The sequence below is a fragment of the Homo sapiens genome, chromosome 4 (assembly GCF_000001405.40).
Source record: "Homo sapiens chromosome 4, GRCh38.p14 Primary Assembly".
Taxonomy (NCBI): domain Eukaryota; kingdom Metazoa; phylum Chordata; class Mammalia; order Primates; family Hominidae; genus Homo; species Homo sapiens.
Window position 1 is genome coordinate 167,855,769 of NC_000004.12, and position 11,928 is coordinate 167,867,696.

The 11,928-nt window shown below is 36.8% G+C and overlaps 1 annotated feature.

The window, feature by feature from the left end:
* Positions 2,013–2,513: an enhancer, noted in NCBI's record as "H3K4me1 hESC enhancer chr4:168778932-168779432 (GRCh37/hg19 assembly coordinates)". NCBI's record gives its function as "activates a minimal SCP1, AML or CMV promoter by ChIP-STARR-seq in naive H9 embryonic stem cells {active_cell/tissue: H9 hESC(naive)}" and the evidence as "EXISTENCE:reporter gene assay evidence [ECO:0000049][PMID:30033119]".

The window sequence follows — 11,928 nt, forward strand, 5'->3', positions numbered from 1 at the left end:
GGGACAGAAGCCATGTAAGACTCTAAGAAGATTGAACTAAATATTTATCAGAAATTTTAAAGGCAAATTGTGGGATAATGTGAGAATATGAAGATTTGGAAGGTCACAGAAATACAGGAGAAATACAGGATTTTTCACCCCGTTGCAGGTTTTTCTTCCAGAAACCCCAGTAAGCAATCATGGGGAGGTTGGGAGAACCTTGAGAAGTTTCCCTAGTGGAGCTGACTGGGAAGAGGGGAGAAGCCACAGCCCAAGCCTTAGGTTTCATCTGGCTTTGCCCTTGATGCCTATATGACCTGGGGCTGTTCTCTCAGCAGTAAATTTGGGAGAAATAGGGCTCCCTTCATATGTTCTGTGTCTCTCAAAAGCCAATATTTTTCATCAGCTGATGTCTGATATCTTGAAAACCATTGTTTCATATATTTGGGGCAATTTTTTGTTTGTTTGTTCTGTTTTGTTTTCTCAAGAGAAATGCCAAAATCAGTCTTTGTGACTCTATCTTGGGCAAAACCTGAAATTTCATTTATGGATATAAATTCAAAGATAATGAATAAAATATTTGAAAGCAGAATCCAACTCTACCTTAATAAAATAATAAACCATGACCCAATGAGACTTACTCCAGGAATACTAGGTTGATTCAATATTAGGAAATCCTTTAATACCAAACACTATATTAATAAATCTAATTTAAAAACCATATAATTATCTTGCTCAATGTGGAAAATGTCTTTGCCAAAATGTCACATGCAATCATGGTTTAAAACTCTCAGGAATATAAGAATTGATAGATAATTAATATGATTAATCATTAAATATGTATATATATAGACACACACACACAATGTTTATCTGAAAAGCCAGTGTCATGCTTAATCAGAACCACTAAAGTCCTTTTGATGAAAATTCAGAATTAGGCAAAGATTTTCACTGACTTCATTAACATTCAATATTGTACTAGTAGCAACTGCCCATACAATTGAACAAAAGAATTCAATTAGCATAAGAATTGTTAAAAACAAAAATATATAGAATTAAAAATATTATTTTAAATGATATAATATGATGATATACTCAAAAAGCTGTACAGAACCAATGTTAAAGCTAACTGAAGCAATAAAACAATTCAATAAGGTAGCCTGCTATAAAATTCACATGCACAAATAAAAAGTCCTCATATGTACAAGAAATAATAGTAGAAACATTTCTGTATACAACAGCAAACAAGAAGATTAAACACTTAGGAATAAATTTAATAACAGATGCACAAAAGCTTTATGAGGAAAACTATAAAATACTCTTGAAAGACAATGAAGTAGACCTGAACAAATGGAAACACATCCCCTTTCTCGGATAGGATGACTCTATGACATAAAAATGTTAATCCTCCTTAAGTGAATTTCTAAATGAAATGCAATCCCTATAAGACCCTCTAAAGCTTACCGAATTATAGAAGGTGATTATCAAAGTTTCTGGTGAATAAACAAACATACAAAAGTAGCATAGAAAACACAAATAGAAAATCTGTAATTGGGGACTAGCCTTCACAGGCTAAAACCATTCTAGCATGGGAATAGGCAAAAGGCCAGTGGATGGGATAGAAAGCCCAGAAATATACCCAAGTACTTTTGGAAATTTAGTGTATGATAAAGGTGGAGTTTCATCATTAAGGCAGTGGTGGAATTTATAATAAATGGTGCTGGAACTATCGGGTAGTCATTTAAAGACAAAAGAGATAAAATTAAATGCATATCTTATACCTTACACTAGAATAAATGCCAAAGGATCAGTGCTTTAAATGTAAAAAAAAAACAAACAATAGAAATAGTAAAAAGAAACATGAGTGAATTCCAAGCTGTCTCACTGTGACTCCAAAATTAAAATCTACTGAAAGAAATGTTTAATATGTGTGTGTATATATATCCAAATATATCAATATATGTAAATTGCATAGCCAAAAAGGATATGATTAAAAGACAACAAACACTGAGAAAGAATATTTGCAGTATGTATTACAGACAAATGGCTTACATCCCTAATATATAAAGCAGTCTTAATTAAGAGACCAAAGACCAAATATCCAATAGAAGAATACAAATAAAACAATGGCCGGGGGGGAGGAGCCAAGATGGCCGAATAGGAACAGCTCCGTCTACAGCTCCCAGCGTGAGCCACGCAGAAGACAAGACGGGTGATTTCTGCATTTCCATCTGAGGTACCGGGTTCATCTCACTAGGGAGTGCCAGACACTGGGTGCAGGTCAGCGGGTGCGCGCACCGTGAGCGAGCCCAAGCAGGGCGAGGCATTGCCTCACTCGGGAAGCACAAGGGGTCAGGGAGTTCCCTTCCCTAGTCAAAGAAAGGGGTGACAGACGGCACCTGGAAAATCGGGTCACTCCCACCCGAATACTGCGCTTTTCCGATGGGCTTAAAAAACCGCGCACCAGTAGATTACATCCCGCACCTGACTTGGAAGGTCCTACGCCCACGGAGTCTCGCTGATTGCTACCACAGCAGTCTGAGATCAAACTGCAAGGTGGCAGCAAGGCTGGGGGAGGGGCGCCCGCCATTGCCCAGGCTTGCTTAGGTAAACAAAGCAGCCTGAAAGCCCGAACTGGGTGGAGCCCACCACAGCTCAAGGAGGCCTGCCTGCCTCTGTAGGCTCCACCTCTGGGGGCAGGGCACAGACAAACAAAAAGACAGCAGTAACCTCTGCAGACTTAAATGTCCCTGTCTGACAGCTTCGAAGAGAGCAGTGGTTCTCCCAGCACGCAGCTGGAGATCTGAGAACGGGCAGACTGCCTCCTCAAGTGGGTTCCTGACCCCTGACCCCCGAGCAGCCTAACTGGGAGGCAACCCCCAGCAGGGCACACTGACACCTCACAGGGCCCAGTACTCCAACAGACCTGCAGCTGAGGGTCCTGTCTGTTAGAAGGAAAACTAACAAACAGAAAGGACATCCACACCAAAAACCCATCTGTACATCACCATCATCAAAGACCAAAAGTAGATACAACCACAAAGATGGGGAAAAAACAGAGCAGAAAAACTGGAAACTCTAAAAAGCAGAGCACCTCTCCTCCTCCAAAGGAACGCAGTTCCTCACCAGCAACGAAACAAAGCTGGACCGAGAATGACTTTGACGAGCTGAGAGAAGAAGGCTTCAGATGATCAAATTACTCCGAGCTGCGGGAGGACATTCAAACCACAGGCAAAGAAGTTGAAAACTTTGAAAAAAATTTAGAAGAATGTATAACTAGAATAACCAATACAGAGAAGAGCTTAAAGGAGCGGATGGAGCTGAAAACCAAGGCTCAAGAACTATGTGAAGAATTCAGAAGCCTCAGGAGCCGGTGCGATGAACTGGAAGAAAGGGTATCAGTGATGGAAGATGAAATGAATGAAATGAAGCGAGAAGGGAAGTTTAGAGAAAAAAGAATAAAAAGAAATCAGCAAAGACTCCAAGAAATATGGGACTATGTGAAAAGACCAAATCTACGTCTGATTGGTGAACCTGAAAGTGACAGGGAGAATGCAACCAAGTTGGAAAACACTCTGCAGGATATTATCCAGGAGAACTTCCCCAATCTAGCAAGGCAGGCCAACGTTCAGATTCAGGAAATACAGAGAACATCACAAAGATACTCCTTGAGAAGAGCAACTCCAAGACACATAATTGTCAGATTCACCAAAGTTGAAATGAAGGAAAAAGTGTTAAGGGCAGCCAGAGAGAAAGGTCGGGTTACCCTCAAAGGGAAGCCCATCAGACTAACAGCGGATCTTTCGGCAGAAACTCTACAAGCCAAAAGAGAGTGGGCGCCAATATTCAACATTCTTAAAGAAAAGAATTTTCAACCCAGAATTTCATATCCAGCCAAACTAAGCTTCATAAGTGAAGGAGAAATAAAATACTCTACAGACAAGCAAATGCTGACAGATTTTGTCACCACCAGGCCTGCCCTAAAAGAGCTCCTGAAGGAAGCACTAAACATGGAAAGGAACAACCGGTACCAGCCACTGCAAAATCATGCCAAAATGTAAAGACCATCGAGACTAGGAAGAAACTGCGTCAACTAATGAGCAAAATAACCAGCTAACATCATAATGACAGGATCAAATTCACACATAACAATATTAACTTTAAATGTAAATGGACTAAATGCTCCAATTAAAAGACACAGACTGGCAAATTGGATAGAGTCAAGACCCATCAGTGTGCTGTATTCAGGAAACCCATCTCACGTGCAGAGACACACATAGGCTCAAAATAAAAGGATGGAGGAAGATCTACCAAGCAAATGGAAAACAAGAAAAGGCAGGGGTTGCAATCCTAGTCTCTGATAAAACAGACTTTAAACCAACAAAGATCAAAAGAGACAAAGAAGGCCATTACTTAATGGTAAAGGGATCAATTCAACAAGAAGAGCTAACTATCCTAAATTTATATGCACCCAATACAGGAGCACCCAGATTCATAAAGCAAGTCCTGAGTGACCTACAAAGAGACTTAGACTGCCACACATTAATAATGGGAGACTTTAACACCCCACTTTCAACATTAAACAGATCAACGAGACAGAAAGTCAACAAGGATACCCAGATACCCAGGAATTGAACTCAGCTCTGCACCAAGCAGACCTAATAGACATCTACAGAACTCTCCACTCCAAATCAACACAATATGCATTTTTTTCAGCACCACACCACACCTATTCCAAAATTGACCACATACTTGGAAGTAAAGCTCTCCTCAGCAAATGTAAAAATACAGAAATTATAACAAACTGTCTCTCAGACCACAGTGCAATCAAACTAGAACTCAGGATTAAGAATCTCACTCAAAACCGCTCAACTACATGGAAACTGAACAACCTGCTCCTGAATGACTACTGGGTACATAACAAAATGAAGGCAGAAATAAAGATGTTCTTTGAAACCAACGAGAACAAAGACACAACATACCAGAATCTCTGGGATGCATTCAAAGCAGTGTGTAGAGGGAAATTTATAGCACTACATGCCCACAAGAGAAAGCAGGAAAGATCCAAAATTGACACCTTAACATCACAATTAAAAGAACTAGAAAAGCAAGAGCAAACACATTTAAAAGCTAGCAGAAGGCAAGAAATAACTAAAATCAGAGCAGAACTGAAGGAAATAGAGACACAAAAAACCCTTCAAAAAATTAATGAATCCAGGAGCTGGTTTTTTGAAAGGATCAACAAAATTGATAGACCACTAGCAAGAATAATAAAGAAAAAAAGAGAGAAGAATCAAATAGACGCAATAAAAAATGATAAAGGGGATATCACCACCAATCCCACAGAAATACAAACTACCATCAGAGAATACTACAAACAACTCTACAAAAATAAACTAGAAAGTCTAGAAGAAATGGATAAATTCCTGGACACATACACCCTCCCAAGACTAAACCAGGAAGAAGTTGACTCTCTGAATAGACCAATAACAGGAGCTGAAATTGTGGCAATAATCAATAGCTTACCAACCAAAAAGAGTCCAGGACGAGATGGATTCACAGCTGAATTCTACCAGAGGTACAAGGAGGAACTGGTACCATTCCTTCTGAAACTATTCCAATCAATAGAAAAAGAGGGAATCCTCCCTAACTCATTTTATGAGGCCAGCATCATCCTGATACCAAAGCCGGGCAGAGACACAACCAAAAAAGAGAATTTTAGACCAATATCCTTGATGAACATTGATGCAAAAATCCTCAATAAAATACTGGCAAAACGAATCCAGCAGCACATCAAAAAGCTTATCCACCATGATCAAGTGGGCTTCATCCCTGGGACGCAAGGCTGGTTCAATATACGCAAATCAATAAATGTAATCCAGCATATAAACAGAACCAAAGACAAAAACCACATGATTATCTCAATAGATGCAGAAAAGGCCTTTGACAAAATTCAACAACACTTCATGCTAAAAACTCTCAATAAATAAGGTATTCATGGGACGTATTTCAAAATAATAAGAGCTATCTATGACAAACCCACAGCCAATATCATACTGAATGGGCAAAAACTGGAAGCATTCCCTTTGAAAACTGGCACAAGACAGGGATGCCCTCTCTCACCACTCCTATTCAACATAGTGTTGGAAGTTCTGGCCAGGGCAATTAGGCAGGAGAAGGAAATAAAGGGTATTCAATTAGGAAAAGAGGAAGTCAAATTGTCCCTGTTTGCAGACGACATCATTGTATATCTAGAAAAACCCACTGTCTCAGCCCAAAATCTCCTTAAGCTGATAAGCAACTTCAGCAAAGTCTCAGGATACAAAATCAATGTACAAAATTCACAAGCATTCTTATACACCAACAAAAGATAAACAGAGAGCCAAATCATGAGTGAACTCCCATTCACAATTGCTTCAAAGAGAATAAAATACCTAGGAATCCAACTTACAAGGGATGTGAAGGACCTCTTCAAGGAGAACTACAAACCACTGCTCAAGGAAATCAAAGAGGATACAAACAAATGGAAGAATATTCCATGCTCATGGGTAGGAAGAACCAATATCATGAAAATGGCCATACTGCCCAAGGTAATTTACAGATTCAATGGCATCCCCATCAAGCTACCAATGCCTTTCTTCACAGAATTGGAAAAAAATACTTTAAAGTTCATATGGAACCAAAAAAGAGCCCGCATCGCCAAGTCAATCCTAAGCCAAAAGAACAAAGCTGGAGGCATCACACTACCTGACTTCAAACTATACTACAAGGCTACAGTAACCAAAACAGCATGGTACTGGTACCAAAACAGAGATATAGATCAATGGAACAGAACAGAGCCCTCAGAAATAATGCCGCGTATCTACAACTATCTGATCTTTGACAAACCTGAGAAAAACAAGCAATGGGGAAAGGATTCCCTATTTAATAAATGGTGCTGGGAAAACTGGCTAGCCATATGTAGAAAGCTGAAGCTGGATCCCTTCCTTAAACCTTATACAAAAATCAATTCAAGATGGATTAAAGACTTAAACGTTAGACCTAAAACCATAAAAACCCTAGAAGAAAACCTAGGCAATACTATTCAGGACATAGGCATGGGCAAGGACTTCATGTCTAAAACACCAAAAGCCAAAATTGACAAATGGGATCTAATTAAACTAAAGAGCTTCTGCACAGCAAAAGAAACTACCATCAGAGTGAACAGGTAACCTACAAAATGGGAGAAAATTTTCGCAACCTACTCATTGGACAAAGGACTAATATCCAGAATCTACAATGAACTCAAACAAATTTACAAGAAAAAACAAACAACCCCATCAAAAAGTGAGCGAAGGACATGAACAGACACTTCTCAAAAGAAGACATTTATGCAGCCAAAAAACACATGAAAAAATGCTCATCATCACTGGCCATCAGAGAAATGCAAATCGAAACCACAATGAGATACCATCTCACACCAGTTAGAATGGCAATCATTAAAAAGTCAGGAAACAACAGGTACTGGAGAGGATGTGGAGAAATAGGAACACTTTTACACTGTTGGTGGGACTGTAAACTAGTTCAACCCTTGTGGAAGTCAATGTGGTGATTCCTCAGGGATCTAGAACTAGAAATACCATTTGACCCAGCCATCCCATTACTGGGTATATACCCAAAGGACTATAAATCATGCTGCTATAAAGACACATGCACACGTATGTTTATTGCGGCATTATTCACAATAGCAAAGACTTGGAACCAACCCAAATGTCCAACAATGATAGACTGGATTAAGAAAATGTGGCATATATACACCATGGAATACTATGCAGCCATAAAAAATGATGAGTTCATATCCTTTGTAGGGACATGGATGAAATTGGAACTCATCAGTCTCAGTAAACTGTCGCAAGAACAAAAAACCAAATACCTCATATTCTCACTCATAGGTGGGAATTGAACAATGAGAACACATGGACACAGGAAGGGGAACATCACACTCTGGGGACTGTTGTGGGTTGGGGGGAGGGGGGAGGGATAGCACTGGGAGATATACCTAATGCTAGATGACGAGTTAGTGGGTGCAGCACACCAGCATGGCACATGTATACATATGTAACTAACCTGCACATTGTGCACATGTACCCTAAAACTTAAAGTATAATAATAATAAATTAATTAATTAATTTTAAAAAAACAATGGCCAGATAATTTTTTAAAAAGTAAAAAAGTTCCCTTAAAATATGTACATGTTCAAATTTACTCATAATAGCTGCATGTAAATTAACACTGATAAAGCATTCTTAGTTATCATCTTAGTGAAAATTAAAATATACATGATAGTACATTTTGTTGGTGTGACTGTCAGTAGAGAAACTGAAACTTTGTAGTATAAAAATGTTTATATTGCTGAGGGGAATGCAAACAAGTATAACCTTCTGGAGTACATGTTGGCAATATGTAACAAAACTACAGATTACTTACCTTTTGACCCGGGAGTTTCATTCCTAGGAATTTATCCTGAGATGATCACCTCCAGCAATACAAATTAATAAGAACAAGAATATTCATCCCAACATTATTTATAATTTTGAAGTATTGGAAAAACCTAAATATCCACATATAAAACAGAGGTTGAATGATAGATCCACCCAGAAGAGAACTTTGCAGCTCCAAATAATAGAAAGAAACATATCCATACAGATACTAAGTCAATTCTACAATATATTTTAAGTGAAAAGAGAAAAGTACAAAAGAACAGCTATAGTGTGAGGCAATTCCTATAATAAAGACATATAATAAAATATACATGTGTCTGGTAATTTAGGCGAACATAAACACAGGAATGATAAAACAAACTAATTAGACTGGTTACCTATTGTGGTAGATGTAAGCTGGGTGAAAAGAATGGGGAAATTTGAATAGGTAGACAGGATGAGGGAGAGGAACACTTCCCTAAGTATCACATTTTATATTGTAACTGTTCAAATCATGGTAATGTCTCATAGACCCAAAGATACATTATAAAAATTAATCAGGATATAGAAAAACCAAAAATGGGATCCAAAGAATAATAAAGGAATGTTAAGTGTATTATAAATGAATAATATAATCAAAATTATTGTGATGGGGAAAAACCAAATCTGAGCAATTTTGGAAAACAGTGTTTTGTCTGTTTGCTGTAAAGCTAAAGAGACAAAATTACAGGCATGCGCATGCACACACACACACACACAAACTCTGCACAGATTATATATTTTAATTTAGAAACTTACTTTTTACAGAGTTATGGGTTAGGAATTTGGAAACTATTTTATATGTGTTGTATTATCGGATTGAGCAAATAAATATATTGTGGATACTAAGAGCCAGATTTTCATTGCCAGAGAAAAATGTTATAAGTAAAACAACAGAGTTAATCTCCGATATTGGAATCAACTTTTGTACCATCAGTCCAAACTCACTGGTTTTAAATATGTGTAGATAGATCGTTAGATAGATATTGATATAGATAGATAAATAGATATGTGTACTTAATTCTCTATTTTTTCTATCTCTGTCCACTAGGAGGATCTAGAAACAGTGATAACAAATTAGCAATTAACACCCCAGCACTCAGATTTTGTTTCCAATTATCATTTTCCAATAAAAAATACCATGGCTTAGAAAAATGGCTGATTCCAGGACTGAAGCACAGAAAAAAATAAGATGATCCCAGAATATCTTGTAGTACCAGAAAGTTAAACAGTGATAAAATTAAGAAATAGGATCTTATCAAAAACACTGGAACCAATTTGAAGGAGCTCCCAAGGGCTATTTCTGGGTAAATTTTAGCAACTATATAATGATAATATTGGACAATAACCCAGAAAATAAAATATATGTCATTGAACAATATTAATAAAACTCACAAAGAAAGAAAGAAGGACAAAGTATAACTCTTTCCCACTGTAAAGTGCTAATTAATAAATGTAGAATGCATGATGACCATAGAAAGTCACCATTTGGCAGACAGCACAGTAATAATTATCGCAAGCAAGAATCATCAATGAATGCTAAAATTAAATGCGAAATTGGATGATAAGAAATAGGATAATTACATAGACTTGAAGTTTTTTTGTAAAGCCAAAAAATAGTACCTTTATAGTTGAAATGTCTATCAAGCATCATCTTAGCTAAGTAATTAAAGTTAACGTTACCAGTAATAAGACACATGAACATTCCATATTTTCTGACATACTGTACTGAGAAAGACACATCACCTTTGTGGTATTCTTGCCAAAAGTGCTAAATATAAATTTTATCCAGGAGAAAAATCAGACAAAACTAAAGTTGTAAAATAGCTTTCAAAGAATCAAGTCATCAAAGACAAAGAAAGATGGAAGAACTGTCCCAGACTGAAGGTCACTAAGGAGGCAAGACAAATAAATGTAATGTGGGTTACTAGACCAGTAAAAAGATATCGGTGAGACAATTGGTGAAATTTAATAAGATCTGCAGATTAGTTAATAGTATTTATCAAATTAATTTCCTGGTCTTCATAATTGTACTGCAGTTATTTAAAATGTTAACATTGAGAAAAGCCTGGCGAACGGTATGTGAGAACTATTTACAGCATTTGGGGAACTTCTTTTTATGTCTGAAGTTATTTCAAAGTAAAAGGTTATAATAGTGATAAAAAATAATAAAAGATATATCCTCCATATTAAAAAATAAATCTGAAAAACGTGTATCTATTAATTAAATAACGATTTCTACTTAGAATTAAAGTAAAAGATGTTAATGGGACAGCCAAAACGTAATATTTAGTTCTATTTACTTTCCACTATACAAGCATAAAAGAATCTCAAACAATTATGGAAGAGCAAGTCAGATCATTCATGTAAATGTCAAAAGTATTACACAGCTCTATACATTCTCCTGTCTCTTTTATGTAACCATGTATAATAAAAGTATTTCAATCAGACCATTAATTTTTAATGAGAGTGCATTGGACTTTTGGTTTAGTTCATCTTCAATGCTAAACACTAAAGATTATATTTGTGATATGAGTGATAGTGAGATAATTACAGATCTATTTCTAGATGAATTTCCTCCTCTCATTGTTTAGCTGAGAATATATAGTTAATTGAATGTGTTAGCATTTAGAACAGTGTCAGGAGTTATTAGCTATTATTGTTGTTGTCACTGTTATTATGAACATGATGTCGTTGCCCTCTCTGATCTTTAACAAAAATAACTCAGCAAGCAAGTTTTAATTTTCCTTTAAGCTGTTCAACCCTGAACTACTTAAATTTCAGGCACTAAGTGGTTTAATACAACCAAGTAGAAAAGCACCACTGAATTATTCAAAAATTAAATTCCATAGCACTCAAGCATCAAAGTAGACCTGCTTAAATTGGCAGCTTTCAGTCTCTCCAGCGCTCCTGCTTGATGACCTTTGAGAAGGCAATGATCTTTAAGTCATCTTGTTCTGCTTCATGTTCTGCTTTGCGTTTGGCACATAAAATCATCTAAAATAATCACCACCCATGAATGTCAATGGAATTGTGCTATTCTTTTTTATATACTTGATTTGTGTCATGTAAGACAAAAAAAATGCAAAGAGAGAGTTTTGACATTTCACCAAAGCACAATAATAACTCCTGTTTTAAGCAGATTAAGCTTATCTTTCACTTGTATTCAAGAAACTAACAAGATAAACTGTGGAGCACAGATTCCGAAATGCTTTGGAGAGATTGTTGAAAAAATTTACATTTGTATGTTTATAAGGAAGATAATCTCTCTAGACCTAATGAATAACATTTCTAATTGCAATCCTGGGAATGAAGTTGTCCGAAATTATTCCTGTGTAAACATGTTACAAGGTTGGAGGGACGGAGGAAGGAGAGTCCATTATGAAAAGGATTTTGAAAGATTCCCTCAAATCCCAATCTCAAGAATATAGTAATTCTTTAACAGAATATA